Raw genomic sequence first — 21,537 nt, 5'->3', positions numbered from 1 at the left:
GGCTGGTCTGCTCACCCCTACACAGGTGTCCTTTCTATTTTGTTTTTTGAGACGAAGTCTCAGCTCACTGCAACCTCCGCCTCCCGAGTTCAAGTGATTCTCCCACTTCAGCCTCCCCAGTAGCTGGGATTACAGGTGCACACCACCATGCCTGGCTAATTTTTTTGTATTTTTAGTAGAAACAGGATTTCGCCATGTTGGCCAGGCTGGTCTCGAACTCCTGACCTCAGGTGATCCACCTGCCTTGGCCTCCCAAAGTGCTGGGATTACAGGCATGAGCCACCATACCCGGCCCAGGTATCCTTTCTTAGATGGGCATTACATCAGTCCCACTATCAGTCCCCAAACTAAGGTCAGTGTCTTAAGACTTGAAAGTCAATATGACTATTAGTACTACTTAAGGGGAATAATTGTGTGCTACTTTTGGCTTCAGTAAGTATTGTAGGCATATCACAGCAAAGGCTTTAGAGGCTTAGAGAGAAATCGAGATAATTGAGCAAAGGTGGTGACTTAAAACCAGCTCTACAATCTGTGTTATTCTCTTCGCTGGAGAGAACCCTGCAAAAAGGGGCAGTTAGGAGTGAAGCAGATAGCCTATGTTCTTGAACCTGTGAGCACTCACTGGTGACATGGTTTGGAGAGTAGAAAACTGGCCTATGCGTCTGGACACCCAGCCGCTGTCAACTTCAGCAAAGCAAAGTTTGGCTTCCCAGCAAGCTAAGGAGGCCTTTTCGCCCTTGCACTTGATGTTCCCTTAACACGGAATGCTCTGTCCCAGACCTGTCTATGGCTGGCTCCTCCTTCTTCTCGGGTCTAATCTCAAATGCGACTTCCCCAGAGAGGCCTTCCCAGATAGTCCCCTCCCTGGTCATTCTCTATCATGTCGTTGTATTTCACTCATGGCACTCATCACCATCCAAAGCTGTCTTTCCATGTACTTGTTTATTTGATTATTCACTGTGTCCTTTTGCTCCATAGATAGATAAGATTCATAAAAGCAGGGCCCCTGACTCTCTTGTTTGCTACTTTATTACAAGCACTTCAAATAATGTCTGGCACATAGTAGGACCTCTATCACTGTGTACTGGATGTACGAACAAATGAATGAATGAATGAGTAGCCTGAATATGGGGCTCAAGATGGCAGTGAGAAAAGTGCTGTCCCATCATGAATAGGGTAGGTTTTATCTCCTGAAGAGGATATGTGCATTTTCTAAAGGAAAGGAGGTAGGGAACAAGGAAGATATCTGTATCATCGGAAAAGATCTTTTATTCCCATATTGAAGCACCAACACGTCCTCCCCAACATGCATTTCTGCATGTGGGTGACATGCCAGAAGGCAGGCAGGGAGGGGCAGGCATTAAAGAACTAACAAACTCACCAAGTTATCACTGTGGTTTTAAAGTGGGGTGATTAAAAAAAACAAATGTTGGTGAGGATGTGGAGAAAAGGAAATCCTAGTGTGCTGTTGGTAGGAATGTAAACTGGTATAGCCCTTATGGAAAATTGGATGGAGGTTTCTCAAAAATCTAAAAATAGAACCACCATATGATCAGGAAATGAAATTGGTAACTCAAAGAGATATCTGCACTCCCATGTTCATTGTGGCATTATCTACAATAACCAAGATACCGAATCAACCTAAGTGTCCAAAACAGATGAATGGATAAAGAAAATGTGGTATTTATACACAGCGGAATTTGATTTAGCTTTTAAAAAGAAGGAAACCCTGTCATTTATGACAACATGGACGGACCTGGAAGACATTATTTATTTAAATGAAACAAGCCAAACTCAGAAAGAAAAATACTGTATAATTGCACTTATATGTGGAATCTAAAAATAGTCACACTCATAGAAGCAGAGACATAGTGGTTACCACGGGCTGGGGGGAGGGAGACATGCGGAGGTGTTGGTCAAAGGATATACAATTTCAGTTATGAAAGATGAATAAGTTCTGGAGATCTACTCTGCAACATAGTGCCTACAGCTAACAATATGGTATTGTATACTTGAAATTTTCTAAGAGAGTAGATCTTATATTGAGTGTTCTTACCACAATATAATAATAATAACAAACGGATGGGAGGGAACTTTGAGAGATGATTATTTATGTCTACAGGTTTGATGGTTTTATGAGTGGACACTTATCCCCAGACTCACTGAGTTGTTTACATTAAATATGTACATGTTTTACATGTTAATCATACCACAATAAAATGTAATAGATTAGACAGATAGATAGATAAGCAGGGTGCTTACATACAGCTCACAAAAGGCAGAGAATGGCTTTGTCTTGCCGTTTGAGTGCAGTGAGAGAATATAATTAAAGTGACCAAAAATCCCTGGGAATTTATTCAATTCTTTTGAACAATGACCATCCTTGGGAAGGGAAGTCCCATCCATATCAGGAAGGGGACACCAGCAAGCTTAATCATCTTGCATTTAAATGTTTTCCATCTATACTTAGAGCTCAACACACAATACAAACACAGCCTTCAACACTGGGACCCTCTCCACCCACAGCACGTGCCCTCTGACCTGCTCTCCAAGCAGTGGTGGTGGCCTGCCTCTGTCCAGAAGCACACCTGCCACGGCCCAGTTCTCTCTCAGTATGTTTGGTAGAAGGATTAAGGGTGTCCATCATGGTTGCTAAACAGTACCAAGCTAGTGTCCTATTATAAAATTACTTTCACACATATAGGATGCAATGGTTCTAATGAGGGGAAAGGCATGCTAAGAACAATTACCCCCCCTTAGATTAGCTTAGTACTTTATATGGTTAACAAATCTCTTTTACCAAAATCATCTCATTTTAATTTCAGTCCTCATCACTGAAATTCATGTAAAAAAAGAGCAGGTGTTTTTCCATCATCGTTTTGTAGAGGAGGAATCTAAGGTCAAAACAGGTGAATGACTTGTTCCTGGTCACAGAACTGGGAGGACCCAGGTCTCCTTGTCTCCAAATACACTATTAAAAGTCAAGGTAATGGGGAAAGATCCATGGCTGACACCCTCCTTGTTACAACTGAATTGCCCATATGTAAAGCTTTCTGCAGATACAGAATAACTTATTTTATAATTTTATTGTGTTGTTGGATCAGGATCAAAGGCCGGACAAGCTTATCACTGGAGGCAATTATTGAATGATGAAAAGAAGGAAGGAGGCAAAGAAGAAACGAAGTAAGAAAAGTCTTCCTTTTTAAGGGATCAGGCTGGCTACACAGCACATCCATATCCTGTATATGAGAATGAGAGCAGAATAGGGACCACTACAATTGACTGTCACCCAGTAAGTACTATGAGCATAGCAGTTTGGAACTGACATGGGCCTTGGAGATCATAATAAGCTGTGCGGTTTTGCTTGCTAAGTTACTCATGCCCACTGCCACATCAGCTGATCTGAACTCACATTCCCATACACAAACATTGAAAACAAATACTTTCTGGACTAAAAATAAAGTACACATAAAAGTCTGTTTAAGTGAATCATCCTTCCTTGGGAAGCTAAAAATGGGTGGGAGGGGAGCAATCTGTAGGCTGCAGATGGGATGGGTGGCAGTGTGGACAGAGTCTCTCTTTGATCCTCTGAGAATTCCCCAGTTGAAAATGCTGTGGGGAGATGAATCCTTCTCTCAGAATACAGGCTGCATCTGACCTTCCTCCTTTGAGTGTTAGCTTCTGCTCACACACTCTGTCTCTCTGTCTCTCTCTCATTCTCTCTCTGTCTCTCTGTCTCTGCCTCTCTCTCTCTCTGCCTGTAAATAACTTATTCTGTAATAGAATTGTGGCTGAGATAGGGGAGGCTGGAAAGTCCCAGCCTGGGGTTACGCAAGGAACTTTATTATTTCCAGTAATGTTAGGAGTTGGCTAAATGGTCTGTGAAAGAGACTTGTCCCTTTTCCTCCTGCCTTCCATCACATGTTCATTCATTTATTCCCGCATTAATTTATTGTGTAAACATTCACTGATAGTTTCTGTAGGTACACATATGAATAAGAAAGGGTCCCTACTGTCCAGAAGCTCTACTCTTATCATTTCCAGTAATGTTAGGAGTTGGCTAATTGGTCTGCAAAAGAGCCTTATTCCTTTTCCTCCTGGCTTCCATCACATGTTCATTCATTTATTCCCGCATTAATTTATTGTGTAAACATTCATTGATAGGTTCCGTAGGTACACACATGAATAAAGAGTCCCTACTGTCCAGAAGCTCTACTCCAGTGAAAAGGAGCAGCCTTTGGGAGAGATGCAGGAAATGAGGCTGAAGGGTGTTTGAGAAAGGGCAGAATGGCCTCATATGCCACTCTGAGGAATTTGTGCTTGATTCTACTGGTCAGGTAAGGATTTCCCAGACTTTGGTATGGAAAACTGTATGGATCAGTTTTTTAAAAGAATTTAATTAAATATTCTTGGTATTGACAACTCATTTTTACTACATTATTTAAATATATACAAACATAAAGCATGTTAAAAAAAACTTCAGATGAATTAAATTTAACAGTGTTTAACTGAGCAATAAGCAATTTGTGAATCAGGCAGCCCTCGGAAGCAGAAGAGGTTCAGAGATCTCGGTCCACAAGGTTGGACAGGCAGCCTTATGGACAGGAAACAGAAGTGAGATACAGAAACAGCTTGATTGGTTACAGCTCAGTGGTTGCTTTATTTGCACATGGTCTGATCAGTTGGTAGCCTGTGATTGGCTGAGACTTTACTCCTAGTTAGGCTTTCAGTTTGTGTGTGTACTAAGTTAGGTTGTAGTTTGTTACCTAGGCACTCAAGGTAGGGAGGCATTCTCAGACCAAATTTAGTTTAACCATGGGGTATAACTTCCCAGTGTGTATACCTTATGCAATTATAAATCCAAAAGAATTATAATGTAAAACCAATTAAATGCAAATTAACAAAATTCATTTAATGCAACGAATATTACTGAAACAAAATGTCTGCTGCCTAGGAATGTGGTACTGACTGTAAGCATGTGGAATATTTTCAGTTCAGGTTGTCTCCGTGACGTGCTGAGCAATGACTCAGTAATGTCACTCCTCCCTAGTCATACTAGCTTGGAACCAACCATTCAAAGAGGCTGTGGTGATGTCACATGGCCAGCACTTCCCTTGTCTATATGTTTGGTTCTGGGGTAATTCTTTTTTTTTCTGTCACCCAGGCTGGAGTGCAGTGGAGCAATCTCAGCTCACTTCAACCTCCATCTCCTGGGTTCAAGCGATTCTTGTGCCTCAGCCTCCCGAGTAGCTGGGACTAGAGACACAAGCCACCATGCTCGGATAATTTTTATATTTTTAATAGAGACAGGTTTCACCATGTTGGCCAGGCTGGTCTCAAACTCCTGACCTCAGGTGATCCACCCACCTTGGCCTCCCAAAGTGCTGGGATTACAGGCATGAGCTACCATGCCCAGCCTGTCTTCAGGGTAATTTTAAATGCAAAGGCAGTTGTAAAGACAAATCAACTGGCAGCATTTAGTTATACAAACAGTCATCCAATGATCTAGAAGATGCATCTATTTAAATTTTAAACTGTCCTTGAAATTAAAGTATTTTTTTTTTAATTTCTGATGATACCTTCAGTCCCAAGAGTACATCACTGAAGCCCTTAGCATGCAGTTTGAGGAAATATTATGTAAGTGCTAGGGTCCTGCAACAGACAGATTTTGGGCAAGGAAGTGACATGATCAGATTTTCATATTAGAGCAATTACACAAGGGGCGGTATGATGGATAGAGTAAAGGAGAGAAAAACTCAGAGTAAGGAGGCCACTTGGGAGACAACTACAATAATTTAGGCAAAGGATGATGAATGATCTAAACAAAGTCAGTGTGAGTGATGAGGCATAAGAGAATAGACTAGAAACGTTGGTAAAAGGCAGAATCTGTAGAACTTAGGGACTGATTAAATGTGGCAGGTGAAGGAGAAGGGGTATTTCAACCTTAGGCAACACTATTAACCCTAGATGGGAATATAAGGAAAGCAAGTTTAATTTCAGATATGGTGACTTGGGGGTGGGGAAGCTGTGAACTATTGGGGTGAGGCCAGTCAAATACAGTGGGCTAGAACTGCAGAGAAAAAGCTTCTATGTGAGGCTAGCGTGCTAGCATGGCTGAGTAGACACCAGCCTACAGAGTGTAATTTCTAGGGCCAAGAAACTCTCATCACCCCTGCCCCCCCACCCCCACCAAATAAAATGTTTCTCCTACCTACAGGTCACTACTACTCCTATCATCTAACTTAATGCTCTGATACTTTTTTTCTTTTGGAGACAGAGTCTCTGTTGCCCAGGTTGGAGTGCAGGGGCACAAAATCATAGCTCACTGCAACCTCAAATTCCTGGACTCAAGTGATTCTCCTACCTCAGCCTCCCGAGTGGCTGGGACTACAGGTGTACACCACTCTGACCGGCTAATTTTTTTGTAAATTTTTGTTTTGCAGAGACGTGGTCTCTCTATATTGACCAGGCTAGTCATGAACTCCTGGCCTCAAGCAATCCTCCCACCTTAGCCTCCTGGAGTGCTGAGGTTTCAGGTGAGAGCCATATCAAAAGAGAGTGACACTTACCCTGGGATTGATGTTCTGGATCCAGAAATGCTCCGGTGGAAACAATGTGGAATTTGCACTCATTCAGATCATAATTTAGATTTCTGCCCTGACACTTACTAGGTATGAAATCCTAGCAAATCATTTATCCTCTCTATCTTGCTTGTAAAATGAGGTTTTAAAACCTTTATCAAAAGCTAGTTAGGAATGTTAAGTAATATAACACATTACAGTATCTAGCACAGTGCTTGCAACATCTTGGCCAACTAATCACGTTCATTCTCAAATATAATGGTTAAGTACATGGAAGAAACCAGACTTCCTGGGTTCAAATCATGTCTCTACAACCTTCTACATGACCTTACGTAAGTAAACTAACCTCTCTGTGTCATAAGGAGATAATGATATTCTGTAATGCATAGAGTTATTGGAGCAATTTGTGAGTCAATGCACATGAAACTCAGAATCGTTTGTCTTGCCCATGGTATGTGCTATCTAAGTGTTAGCTGCTATTGTTGTCATAATTACTCCTTCCTCCCTTCCAATGACTATGCTTCAGATTCTTTCCTGGTCATCGTTTTAATGGAAGGAGAGAAAGATCATGGCATGCTGGGCACCTAAGCCACTGAGTGTGAAACTCCATACGAGAGGGAAAAGGGGGAGTTTGATGGCCCTAAAGGCATTCTTTGACTGCTTCTTAATTTTGTCTAAGACAAATCAGGGTCTGCACTGCCTCAGGGAGGGAAACATAGAGTGACTGAAGTCCAAAGCCTTGTGATAAAATGGAAAGACTGTCATCGGATGTCTGGCCAAGAAGGCAGCTGTCCAGATGCAGGGACTGTGAGTTCTTATGAACTATGACAACACTCACTTTCAATGAACTTTATTTTTCACTTATCAGTGGTTAAATGCCAAAATTACATTGGATTTTGCACCAAACTGGGAAGGGAGGGGGAACAAAAAAACAGCTCAAACTGACTTGCATTTCCCGAGGGCTGAGTCCTGAGAAGTTACAGCTGGGGAAGCCGGATCAGGCGCATGGGCCAGTGAGCAAACACAGATTTTTCTGATATATTAAGCATTATTATGTCAAGTACCTGACCCTAATCAACCAAGGTCATGAACAAACTAGTCCTTTTAACATTTTTATGAAAGAAACTGCTGTGTGCTTTTCTCTCTGGACTCTCTCACTTGGAACACAGATGTGACCCGGCTCTTCCAAGACTTCCCTCACGGAGGCATTAGGCCGATGCCCTGAGCTGAGTTTTTGGTGATTTGCTGCCTCCACTAGGATCGGCGAAGAATATTTTAAAATAAATTTCAATTTGTTTGATCCTGAGAGGATGCAATGACTTTTAGCTCAAAGTGGGACAGAGAGGCCTATTAGAGATGGACACATAATTTTGAGGGGGTAAAAATTTTAGCTCATTAAACTTTTCCCAAATTAAAAAGCACAGAGAGGAGTGGAGTGGAAAGAGCTTCATCTTTGTGGTAAGATAGATTTTAGATCCAATTCCAGGTCTGTCCCCTGCACTGTTTGATTCAGGGCAAGTCACTTAACCCCCTGAGCTCACTGGCGTTAGCTATAAAATAATGACAGCACTACCTACCTCCTAGGCTGCCATAAAACCCATTACGATCTGACCCTGATGGTTTCTCTCCAGCCTCAACTGTAGCCTCTCCCTCCTGAACAGGCCTCCCTTTAAATACCACTTCCTCTAGGAAGTCTTCTTGGATATCACTTCTCCCAGTTAAAGTCTAGGTTGTGTACCCTCCTATGAGCCCAGAGCACCTGTGTGTATCCCATCAATAAACTTAGAAACCATCATGTTGATGTTCCAGATCACCCCTGGACTATAAACTGTTCAAAACAAGATCAGGCTCTTCTAATTGCAGGTGTCTCCAGAGCTTAATGCAAGGCCAGACACACATGAAGCCTTCTATATGCTTTTGTAAAATGAATGAAGACTGGTAAACATTGCTATTCTGTTGCTATTTATATGGTCCTCAGATGAAAGTTACTCCATACGAAGTCTGACATACTAAAGCATTCTCCAGGATGCTTTTCTGAGTTGCCATGCCTGATTCTTGATGTTGTTCTCACCACCAGACTACCCCCTTTATTCTTTATTCTAGACTCCACTTGCCCTTGAAGCTGAGACTACTGGCTTTCCTCACTGCCTACCTAAGACACCTCAGCCAGGATTCCAAACAAAGTTCAATGTCTGCACTCTCCTTGCCCTTGCAGATCTAGCAGGGCCCCCTCAATTCTGTCTCTGCCAAATCCCATTCAATAGGATACACAAAATTCACTCTGACTTGCTGTCTTTGAAAGCATGAAGGACGTGACAGTCTCATTGGTCTTTACTGAAGAAAGATCTAACCCAAGCATCCTCTTCTCCTACTGCCCAGGTATGGGTCAGATTCTTTAAGAATATATTGGGAAGGGGGAGATTTATTTCACATTACTTCTCTGAATTGGAACTTGCTCTGAGCACCCTGTTGTTCTCCTTTCTACTTCCGTAGGCCTCTCCTCCATTGATCACTATCCAGAACTCCCAGACAATCCCCTTAGATGGATACTTCTCCCTTTTCAAGGATTCAGACAAGAGGTTGATGTGGTACTGGCTATACTTCAATCAAGTGCCCAGACCCTTCATTCTCCATAGCATCACCACAGAGGAGCAAAAGGCATGGGTCTCGTCTGAACAACCAGGGTAACTCAAGGAGCCAACACCACATTTTCTTCTTATGGAACTTAAATCTGTACACATCACCTAAAGGAAAATTATCCAAAAAGGTAGACTTTCCTCATGGGGTTTCCATCATGGACACAAGCTTGTTCCTACACAGTGTCTCACATCTCCAAAACAATGTGTTCTTCCCACTCTGCAGAGTGGCAAAAACAAGATTTGATACCCAACTCACTACTCAGACTTGATCTTGACCTTGGAGCCATTCCTTCCCTAGGGGTACATTTCCTTAATTATGCATCATTCAGACTAAGGAAATTCAGAGGAGCTTCATCAGGAAGTCAGCAATGGGGGAACATCTCTATTCCTCAGTGCAGTCCAGCCTTATGGTAGAGGAGTGCAGTGGCCCAAAGAAGGAATTCTGAAATGAAGCAACCAGGACTTGAAGATGTCTTCTCCCAGCTTTGTGACCTCCTCATGTTACTTCCTGCACCTCAGTCTCCTTTTCTGTGATATGGTGATGATTATAGTGAGGCTTTAAAGAGTTAACACACATATAGAGCACACCTTAGCAAAGATGTGCTCCATAAATTTTATATATAGTTTTCCGCCAGTGTAGACATGGCTATTATTTTTCTGTTTATCTAGCAAATAATCGTTGAAGCAGATATATACACATTCACAGACACCTCCTGAGGGCAAACACTAATTTCCAGAGACAGTAAAATCTGGAAATATTTTTCTAAATGACTCATGAGGAAGTCTCAAAGTGCAGTCAACACAGCAAGCTCACTCCTGATGAACTTTCAACCTACACATTTTCATTAGGTGCAAATGGGATTTTCCTGCTCTCTCTGCATTTTGGCTGAAGCCCCTAAAGTGAAAACAATAAGTAGCAAGCACCTCTATCCCCAATCCTACAGAGACCTGCTGGATCCCAGGGCTCACTAGAAGGTGCCCAAACTGATCTTTCACCTCCAGAGTATGTAAAGGAAGACTTGAAAGTCCCCAAGAGAGCTCGTTGAAGGGAATGCCTGAGAATCGAGATCCCTTGGCTTTTCTCTCCCACTGGAGAACTTGACATGTGTCCTTGAAGACTTGAGGACATAGTTGAACAGAGACCACAGCCTGCCTCATGTTGAGACAATTTCTGAGGTCAGGAACCTGCCAAGAACTGCCAAGAGGGCAGGCGAGGACAGAGGCAGCAGGGGAAGCAGCCTTATTTTCCTTGGTGGGGTAGAGCAGGAATGCAGGGGTTCCTGCAAGCCTGGTGGACACCATGGAATCTATCCTGAAACATCTTGAAAGGAGCCCACCTTATAGGGTGGCCTGCCAGAGCAAGGAGATATTAGCAGTGAGAAGCTGGAGTACAACCGCTAAGACAGGAGTTGGGGTGGAAGAAGGAAAGTGGGACGCATGGGGTCGGCTGAAGAGCATGCACCAATAGCAGTAAACTAGTACATCAGAAAAGTCCCAATGCATAGGATCCACAAATGCACATCATGGAAAAGTGTAATGAAGGGCCCAGCATCTGGGCAAAGCCAGCCAAGACAGAGCCACAAAGAGCACCAGATACTTTAAAAAGGCTGCCCATCTTCTGTTTCCCTTTCTGCCCCACTCCCCTACCATGGAGAAACCAAAAGCAGCAAGGCAAATCGGGGAGGAGGAGTGAGTCAGGAACAAGTGAAAAAACAGACCATGAGACCAGACTCTCCTTTCCTATTTTGGGAACCCCAGCAAGGGTCAGGCCCGGGCTGTGAAAATGAGAGAAGATGTGAAGAGACAAAGGCTTTGATTTAGACTCTATTGGGTCTTTTCGTACTTATAGATGAGTCATAATCCTCAATAAAAGACTCATTTTTGTTGCTTGAACATGATCAGACTACAGACGCAGACAGGGAGGGAAGGTTGAGCACAGTATATTTCCAAGGTTGTCATGGCAGAGAAAATGAAGTAGTTTCCTGTTCATAGCTATTGGGCTCAATATATGCACAATACATTGGTTAAGCAACACACATGCCAAAGCAAAATCTCATCAGCCCCATCCCCCACCGACAGAGGGGTCTGAGCTGCTGATTCTGTGAGTATGGTACAAACTAACCTAATCCTCAGCAGACAGGTCTTTGCCCTTAAGATTGTTATGAGGAACTCTGAAAGTTTCTTTCTTATACCCCTTTTCCTCCAGCCTGCTGGGCAGAGGAGAAAGTGCCCATCAATCAATCTTTAGGTCCACAGAGATCTACCCTAAGGATTGAGATCACTGCTCTTAATGACATTACTAGATTGGGAGGCAAAGTTCTCTGTCTGCCCCAGTTTCTTTCTACAGAGAGAGAAGGGACTCTTCCAGTCACAGGGACATTGGATATTTAATGTTGGGTAGAGAAAGAGGGACCCAATTTAGTTGGGAAAGAAAGTAATTTAAGATCTTCCCCAAGAAATATAAAACTTTCTCTGAGAAGCAAATTTAGAGATTCAAATGACTCCAAAGAGGACTCAAGAATGGAAAGAAATGATCCTCCCTTTCTCAAAACACTCATAATCATAATCGTAATCATAACCATATCATTCCAGCAAATTTCAAGATCTCAGCAAGGTGGTTAGGCATGCCCCTTTTCCTCCCTCTTTCTTATTTTCTACTCTTTTCTCTTCGCCCCAGGACAAAGTCAAGTCATTTTTCATACTTTTTTCACCTTGCTATTTATTCCATTACTCTTTGAAAGCAAGTCCCTGGGTCAACCACGTCTTCCTTTCACAATGACTCGGGAAAACAATGACAAATTCCATGTGGAAACCAGAGAGCCGAGAGGAAAGTGCTGGCCATTTTCTTCCAGTTCTCCACTCTCCTGAAAAAAGCTTATGGCTTGGTAGAAATTGTGAATTCTCTTGAAATAACCAGAAAAAGCACAGCTGGAATAGCAATATCTAAACAAAAATGCAGCTGATCTGCTAATATTAACTAGTCTAAAAGTACCATGAAGCATGTGGTTTTCATTACAGCAACAAAGCCACTATAGTATGACAAGCAGCCTGCCTTCCAAGGTTACCCTCATTTACATGATATTGTATTACACATGGAGTTGGACTCTTGGGTTTAAAGAAAAACAAGAGTTTCACAGCAAGAGGTGAAATGAAGATTTAGGCACTCAGCCAAAGGTTTGAGACTACCCAGAAATGATCTGAGCTCACAGTCATGTGATTCCTCTCTGCTCAGTACTCCAGCAGCGTGCCATTTAGTCTCCACTCAGGTGGAACTCTCACACATGGCTCTTATCACAGGTAATTGTGTACAAGATCAGGGCGTCTCTTGATCAAAACCACATCCCAAATAGCACCTACCACAGGTCTTTACCATCAACTGAGCTCGCGATCAGCAAGACGATGTAGTTGGAAAGGGCAGACTTTGGAGTCCCAGAGCTGAGTTGCAAGCCCAGCCTCTGTTCCTTTAATGCTGTTTAATCTTAGGCAAGTTTTCCACTTCTCCAAGCCTCAGTTTGCTAATCTGTAAAAAGGTTATAGGGAGGATTATTACTGCTATCATATTCACAGCTAACATTTATGGGCATGCTTATAATATTCCAGGGACTTCATGTTGTTACACGCATTATTCTATTTAATCCCCAAAATAATTTGATGAGGAAACTACTAATATTTTCTCCATTTACAGATAAGGATACTGAGGGTCAAAGAAGCTAAGCAGCTTGCCAAAGCTACCTGATGAGTAAGTGGCTGAGCTGGGGTTTGACCCTGGGTGTGACTCCTGTCAAGGCCTGTGTTCTCACTCTCTAGATAAAGTCAACACTACAACATGACTATAACATGCAAATAGCAAAATGGTTAAAGGCAAGAGTTTCTACCACTTCCTTGTTGGCCCCTATCTGGACTTTGGTTTCCTTGTCTGTAAAATGAGAGTAGTAACAGTTCCTACCTCATAGGATGGCTATAAAAATTAAATAACTTAATATGCATATGACCTATGGAGTAATACTCAGCACATAGTAGTTACTCTGCAAATGTTTACCACTTTGTATGTATTACTATAAAACAGCTGACACATAGATGATGAGAAATGTGGGAATTAAAATAAGAAACAGAAGAGCATGAGAGGCCACCAAACGACCAACAGCTCTGTGGGCACCTGCAAAACCCTCGTGGGAAACTTGCAGAGATGACCAGAGACACTTTCTGGGGTGCTGACTTCCTTTGATGCAGAGGAAGGGATCTCAGACATTAAGATCTGACCATATTTTACACGCCTGTTTTACATCTGTAGCTGGTAAAACCAGGAAACAACTGGATAAGAAATGTAATGCTAAACAGATGGATACCTTAGGACCAAAGAGTCAGGCTAGGGCAGTCCCCTAGTGGCCTTGTCCAGGCCCAGGCACACCCTGGAAGCATCACTTTTGTCTGATGATGTCACTACACAAAGTCACATGGTGACCCTGAGGCAGACAAGCCAGTTGGTGCACAGGAATGGAGCTGACATGCCTTGTTCTTCAACCCCCTGAAGCATTTTCAGATCATACCTATTTCAGAAGGCTGGAAGTGAACCCAGCAAGAGGCTTCTGTGTTGATAAGTCTTTGTATCAAAATTGACCTGACTGGGAATTTCTTAGCAAACTTTTCAAACAAGAGAAGGACATTCTCTTAGATATGTGATGTGAGTGAGGATTAAATGACCTGATAGAAAATGTAAACTACTTTTAAATAATTTATGGAGTTGCTGTCATCATTAAAACCACAGAGATTTATCAACTCTCATTTCCGAGTAAGATTTGAAGGAATAGATTTGTAGTCTTGAGATGGGACAGGGCACCAAGAATGAATACTTACGATTCAAAGCCACAAACAACTTTGTCTCAGATGGTGTTCCTAGATTTTGCTTCCAAGTGTAAATTTCTGGCTATAGCAAAGATGGTAGCAAGTAAGTGATCATTTCACCTCTTTCCAAACTCCCTACTTTTTTGCACATGTCAGATGCAACCTCAGGTTTATAACTTTAATTTTAATATCCATCTCAAGCTAACCCAGTTTCCTGGAAATAAATGCCTACAAAAAGAAAAAAAACTTTTAAAGAAAAATACAATGAGGCTGCTTGTGGGAAGGGATCTCTTCCTCAAGAAGCAATATGCAGAAATTACCAAAAAAGATGGAAAAAACATGAATTTAAAATCTGACCATATTGAGTCTTGTTTCCTTACTCAGTGATTTTCAAAATATAGCCTTATTTTCACAATACTATAAAAGTAATGCTGATTAGTTACTAAAATCTGGATATGATATAGACTTTAATGTACCAAGGAGATGACAAAATCTTATTTTAAAGGCTGTTGATGATTGCTTCTCAGCCTTTTGGCTAAGATCAAATGTAAAAGCTGTTGATGAAATTTTTCCTAAGAGGAAAGTGTTTTTTCCTTAGCAAAATGCTTTGAAGAGCCATTTGGCTGTAAAAAAATAAAATAAAATAGGTTCTGAAATATTGTTCAGAAGGAAAACCAGGAAACCAGTAGTAACTTTGTTTCTCTGCATAATGATGCAAGAAGAAAAAAATAAGTTTCTAAGGGCAGACTGAGATGGTGGGGACATAAGTTGGTGGAGGAAATAGGGAGGTAAAGAGAGAAGGCAGGAGGACCAGGTTCAGGAAAATGGAATCTGGAGGCCCAGGAGAAGAGAGCTCAAGAGAAATTCTCACTTATGAAAAGGGCTGGGGATATCTGCATTTAGAAATCAATGGTGATATCCCATATTTAGTTTTAAAGAATTTGCTATGCTCTGCAGCAATGCAATCTCCCTGTTTTCAAAAACTCTTTGTAAAAATTAACTACACACAAATGCTTTCTATAAAGGCATTTAGGGAAGATAAAGGAAAAGAAGCAACTGTGTTTCAGTTTTGAGAAAAGAAAACCACCTGAGGATGAGAAGTGAGATTAAGAATTTACCAAAATCAGAGAACCTAGGAGAAAGTTACCACATCCCACCCTACCCTGCCCCTGAGAACTTCCACAGAAAATGAATAGCCTCTGGGAGGCCGAGGCGGGTGGATCATGAGGTCAAGAGATCGAGATCATCCTGGCCAACATGGTGAAACCCCATCTCTGCTAAAAATACAAAAATTAGCTGGGCATGGTGGCGCATGCCTGTAGTCCCAGCTACTCTGGAGGCTGAGGCAGGAGAATAGCTTGAACCCGGGAGGCGAAGATTGCAAGTGAGCTGAGATCGTGCCACTGCACTCCAGCCTGGGCAACAGAGCGAGAGTCCGTCTCAAAAAAAAAAAAAAAGAAAGAAAAGAAAAGAAAGAAAGAAAAAAGAAAAAAATGAATAGCAAAGTATCCTGAGTTTCCTTTTACATATGGAAGCCATTTTTATTTGAATACTAATAGTTGGAATGATCAATGAGGCTGGCAGAATTGGGGAACACTGAGAAAGGAGACATCTGGATTACATTAAATAAGTGTAATCTCCCCTGATGCAAAAATCTTTCTTATCAAAGCAAGGTTAGGTAGCATCACCACCTTTCCTGAAGCTGGTGCCATTATCAAAATAGTCTAGTAATCATTAAGAAAGCAGCTGGTGAAATTCAAATATAGCTTTTATGGCTAGAAAAATAGTTTTATCTCAAAAGTGATTACTCAGGATGCAGCTGTGAGAGCATGATTTCCTTCTTTATGTACAGAGAAAAATTTCCTATGAGCTTTTGCAGTGGCGATGGAAAGAGGAATGAATCCACAAGTCCTGAAAGTCTTCAAGTTTTTGACAAGATGTGATTTTAAGGGTGTGGGGGGCTGAGTTGCTCTTTATACCCACCTCTATACTCTGGAAGTCATGCCATTTGAAGTCAGTGGGTTTTAAAGATTCAGGAAACACTACTCAAAGTATCTGGCTACAGGGCTCAACTTGCTGAGAGAGAGTATTCCTTTCCTTAAGATTTCTACACATGTGATGCAGAAATTGTTACACAAAGTTCTGACCATACCTGTGTATCATTGTTCAGCCACAGTCTCTTATAGAAAATTGTAATGAATTGCTTTTCAATATGCACCTGCAGCAAGCTCTGAGACAATCCTCCAGGAAGCCTTCCTTAATCCTCCCCAGTAAGAAGTAGGGTCCCTCCTGTGCTTGAAATAATTATACAGATGACTAGATAAGAGGCTTGGTGAAATAAGCTTCTCATATGCACATCTCGCTGGTGCAAAAAGTACTTGCAGTTTTGGACCGTGAATTGTAAGTCGTTATAACTAGGCTCAAACATGTCTTTAACCAAAAAAGGAATCATTACAATCAATAAATTTCTGCCAGTGAGAAATACGTTTATTCCTGTAGCCTAAAAATCCATGCTTCAGGATTTGACAAACTTTTGGAGAGCATTTTCTGCATCCTGCTGGTTGTGGAAGCATTTTCCCTGCAAAAAGTTGTTGAGATGCTTGAAGAAGTGGTAGTTTTGAAGTGTCATCTTCTCTTATTCTATGCAACAACAATGAACCATTTCTTGATTGGATTGTGATGTGCGAGGAAAAGTGGATTTTATATGACAACCGGCGATGACCAGCTCAGTGTTTGGACCGAGAAGAAGCTCCAAAGCTACTTCTCAGCGAGAGGTCAGGTGAACATGGGAGATGAGGCAAAACTTCGTAGCCCAATTTGTTCAACTTCTGAAGCGTGGGTTGTGATGTGCAGTCGGACATTGTGGTGGAGAAGAATTGGGCCCTTCCTGTTGACCAAAGCCAGCTGCAGGCATTGCAGTTTTTGGTGCATCTCATTGGTTTGCTGAGCATACTTCTCAGGTGTAATGGTTTCCCAGGGATTCAGAAAGCTGCAGTGGATCAGACCAGCAGCAGCCCACCAAGCAGTGACCAGGACCTTTTTTGGTGCAAGTTTGGCTTTGGGAAGTGTTTTGGAGCTTCTTCTCGGTCCAACCACTGAGCTGGTCATCGCCAGTTGTCATATAAAATCCACTTTTCCTCGCACATCACAATCCAATCAAGAAATGGTTCATTGTTGTTGCATAGAATAAGAGAAGATGACACTTCAAAACGACAATTTTTAAAAAAATTTTCGGTGAGCTCATGAGGCACCCACTTATCAGGTTTTTCACCTTTCCAATTTGCTTCAAATGCTGAATGACCATAGAATGTTTCAGGGGGTGTGGCTTCTTAGTGTCCCCAGTATTTCATGGAAGGCCTACTCAGGTTGGTGGTATTGGTGTTTACTTGTCCGGAGTGAGATCTGTTAAAAAAACAAACAGGCATATTAAAATATTAAGAGTGTATTTGAGGAGACAGCAATTCACGCATAGGGCAGCTCCAAGCCAGAAGTGGTCAGGGCCCTGCCAAAGAAGTGAAAGAGAAAAGCATTATAGGGTGAATGCGAAAGTGAGGCAAAGAAAATATTAAGTTGGTTCAGATCAGATATTGCCTTATTTGGATTTTCTCAGCAGAAAGTCCCTGGTAATATAATGCTCAGTTGGCTTGTGACGGGCTGAGCTGAAGTTTCAATTTGTTTACATAGGAATGCAGGGTGATAGAGCCATCCCAGCCTAATGACCTCTCATTAAGTTAGTTTAACAAGTCCCACAAGGTTATGGTGAGTTTGTCAGAGATGTTTGAACCAGAGCAGCTCCATCTTGAATAGGGGCTGTGTAAAATGAGGCTGAGACCTGATGGGCTGCATTCCCAAGAGGTTAAGGCATTCTAAGTCACAGAATGAGATAAGAGGTTGGCACAAGATACAGGCATAAAAACCTTGTTGATAAAACAGGTTGCAGTAAAGAAGCCAGTTAAAACTCACGAAAACCAAGAAGGTGAGGAGAGTGATCTCTGGTCGATCTCACTGCTACACTCCCACCAGCGCCATGACAGCTTATAAATGCCATGGCAATGACAGGAAGTTACCCTATGTGGTCTAAAAGGAGGAGGCATGAATACTCCACCCTTTATTTAGCATATAATCAACAAATAACTGTAAAAATGGGCAACCAGCCTGGCTGCTCTGCCTGTGGAGTAGCCATTCTTTTATTCATTTACTTTTCTAATAAACTTGCTTTCATTTTACTTTATGGACTCACCCTGAATTCTTTCTTGCACAAGATCCAAGAACCCTCTCTTGGGGTCTGGATCAGGACCCCTTCCCAGTAACAAGTTCTGAGTGGGGCCCTACCCAGCCTTATCTAATGCCAACCGTATCACCCTGAAAATCCAGCATAACTAATTTGTATCATTTGAAAAACAGCCTGTGAAAAACCATGCCTCCTGTATGTAACATCCTGGTTCTTGCGATATCTCGGTACCTTCCCCACAGGTCCGTAACACATGCTGGTCATGTTGCTGCTGAGTAATGGTGATCACTCTATGGATATGCTGCGTCACCTTTACCTCTATTGTCACAGGAGCTAGGAGGAACTGAGCACAGCAGGTTGGCCAGGGGCTATGACAGCGTTCCCATGGAAACCTAATTATTCTAATGTGTAAGATACATACTATCCTATTACAGCATTTAGTTATAACAGCCTGAGAGTTGCATTACTTTCAGAAATGCATGTGCCTTGTCGATCAAGCTGTAAGTTCCTTGAGAGCAGAAGCCACGTGTCAGTCAACTTTGTATCTCAATGAATTTTGGTTGATAAGCAGTGGGTAAACTTTTGGTGAAGGGATGAATGAAACCTGAAGGGGATTGGTAAATACGCCACCCCAAAATATGCCACTTTGGGATAGGACTATTTTGAGATCCGACAGATGCAGAAAGAAGTCTTCCAAGAGCTTCTCTTTCTTAAAAAATCTGACTCAAATCAGAAATTCCTGGGAAATGAGGACTGCCATAAATTGCCTCTCCAAGGGAATTTTTAAGGCCATGAAGAAGACAGAAAGTCACCACTGAGATGGACCTGAACACACACACCTTGCCAAGATAGCCCCTGGCTTCCACAAGAGTTCCCCATGCATTTACCTTCCCGTAGTGGACTGCTCTTGAAAGCCCCAAACCCTTTTTTCTTTCTGTCAAGTCTCCACAGTTTATCTTTCTTTGTTTAAAATGGTATATGAGCTTTTCGGCCTATTAGCTTGTTTGTATGCCTTTTCTCCTGATAATCTGTCTTTTGTCAGTCTAATTTGCAGTGCTCCAGTGAATCTAAAAGGGTAGAGGAAAAAGGGTTATTTGTTTCCCCTATAAACTGAATTATAAATTCCATTACAACAGGGTCTATGTCATTTTATCTTCTTAGTACTTAACGTAAAGCAGTGTTTAATAGGTCAGACGTGCTCAATTTAGGGTATCCAAAGGGAGCAGAATTGTATATATACATATATATTTCATGTGCAATATTTACAATATATTTATATTCATAATATATACAATATTGCAAAAATCCTAATAGAAGCTATAACATTATTCTAAAGATTGCTGTTCATAGCAGGGATTATATCAGTCTGTGTAGAAAGCTGTTTTTAGCAAATGATAAGCAATTCCTTTATATGTGTTGATTTACTTCCTATGGCAAAAACAAATAATATATAAATATTATATTATATATAAATATAAATAAATTCCTTATTATTTAGCAACTGTGATGTTTTTGTAAAGAAAATCTTTCACATAGAAAAAAATAAAAGCTCTTCCTGTTCTTGGTGGTAAATAGTATGGAAACCAGTGCAGTGCAATTCAATTTCAAAGAATTAAATATCACTAAAACTTGTTTATTTATTTTTTTATTTTTGAGACAGGGTCTCACTGTGTCACCCAGGCTGGAGTGCAGTGGCACAATCATAGCTCACTGCAGCTTCAACCTCCCACGCTCAAGCCACCCTCCCATCTCAGCCTCCCAAGTAGCTGAGTTTACAGGAATGCGCCACCACATGCAGATAATTTTTGTATTTTTTGCAGAGACAGGGTCTCACCATATTGCCCAGGCTGGGCTTGAACTCCTGATCTCAAGTAATCTGCCCACCTCAGCCTCCCAAAGTACTAACTCTTATTAAATGTTGTGGTCAGAACAACTCTGTCCTTAGTTATATGGAAGTGACCTGCAGCAGGTGATGGAGAAGAATCAGAAGACTGACTAAGCAACTTTCAGTTACTTCATATGGATTTCACATTGGTGGAAAAGCAGGAACAAAAAGAAGTCTTGATTCATGCACAGTTGATAGCAGGAGACCATTTACTGGCCCTCATGAGATCCTCCCTGGAAGAGGATCAATATCAAGGGTGAATGATTCCTATTTCTTCACTTCCTGTTTGTTCAACCAGAAATTTCTACGTATGTTGTTGTATTCCTCAGGACACTTCCAATTTCAAGTGACAAAAACCCAACTCAAACTAATTTGACACAAAAGGGAATGTACTGGCTCTTACAACTGAAAAGTTGAAAAGTCGGTTCTAGTTCAGGTATGGCTGGATCCAGGACATCAGATGATGTCCTTAAGATGCACTTGCTCTACCTTCATCTTCAGGCTCTGCTTCCCTCTCCCTAAACAAAGTTTCTACACTGGGCAGTGCAAAGTATCTCTGCATCTTCATGTTTAAATGGTTCTTTGATCCCACAATCTTCAGAATGACTCTCTCAGTGCAGCCCCACATCAAGGACTCTGAAATGACAATGAATGCCTCTGCTTGGGTTAGATGCCCACTACAGGACACATCACTATATTGGGGAGGATGAGGCATGATTGTCCAATCTGGCTCAAATGCTCAGTCGTCTGGGAAAATGGCCATGTGTGTGACCGCTCCACAGACATGAGAGGCTGGGATTTCCAACAGAAAGATGCTAGGAAGACAGAAGAGTTGCTTATGCCCTAAGATCAAGATCTGTGTAGAGTGTCCCCTCAACCACCCAAATCACAACCTCCCCATATAAGGCCTAATCGGATGTTTTTTGTTGTTGCTTTTGTTTTTGTTTTTTGTTGTTTTGTTTTGTTTTGTTTTGTTTTAGATGGAGTCTCACTCTGTTGCCATGCTGGAGTGCAGTGGTGCGATCTTGGCTCACTGCAACCCCCACCTCCCAGGTTCAAGCAATTATCCTGCCTCAGCCTCCCGAGTAGGTGGTATTACAGCCACGTGCCACCATGCCCAGCTAATTTTTGTGTTTTTAGTGGAGACGGGATTTCATCATGTTGGCCAGGCTGGTCTCAAGCTCTTGACCTCGTGATCCACCCGCTTCGGCCTCCCAAAGTGCTGGGATTACAGGCGTGAGCCACCTCGCCCAGCCCTAATCATATGTTTTTAAGCAAAAGGCCTAAAAAGCTTCCTCCTAGGTTCTGTTCAAAACTGAAACAAAACAAAGCAAAAAATAAAAATAATAATAATAATGA

The 21,537-nt window shown here is 41.8% G+C and overlaps 2 long non-coding RNA genes and 1 pseudogene across 3 annotated transcripts in view; 2 read left to right on the top strand and 1 right to left on the bottom strand.

The window, feature by feature from the left end:
- Window positions 1–21,537, bottom strand: part of LOC105369812 (uncharacterized) — an 86,311-nt gene that overhangs the window by 42,074 nt on the left and 22,700 nt on the right. For both annotated transcript variants that reach the window (XR_001749186.2, XR_945043.3), the window contains exons 2-3: window positions 16,215–17,464; window positions 12,578–12,740 (exon numbers count right to left, since the gene is read on the bottom strand). This is a non-coding gene — a long non-coding RNA (uncharacterized LOC105369812). The remainder of the gene's footprint in view (window positions 1–12,577; window positions 12,741–16,214; window positions 17,465–21,537) is intronic.
- Window positions 2,710–3,477, top strand: LOC124903072 (uncharacterized). Its single transcript, XR_007063567.1, has 2 exons — window positions 2,710–2,986; window positions 3,105–3,477. It is a non-coding gene; the product is annotated as an uncharacterized LOC124903072 (long non-coding RNA).
- NTAN1P3 (N-terminal asparagine amidase pseudogene 3) lies at window positions 13,636–14,366 on the top strand (annotated as a pseudogene).

This window comes from Homo sapiens, chromosome 12, assembly GCF_000001405.40.
Source record: "Homo sapiens chromosome 12, GRCh38.p14 Primary Assembly".
Taxonomy (NCBI): Eukaryota; Metazoa; Chordata; class Mammalia; order Primates; family Hominidae; genus Homo; species Homo sapiens.
Note: the sequence above shows the minus strand (reverse complement) of the source record. Positions and strands in the feature narration are given on the sequence as shown.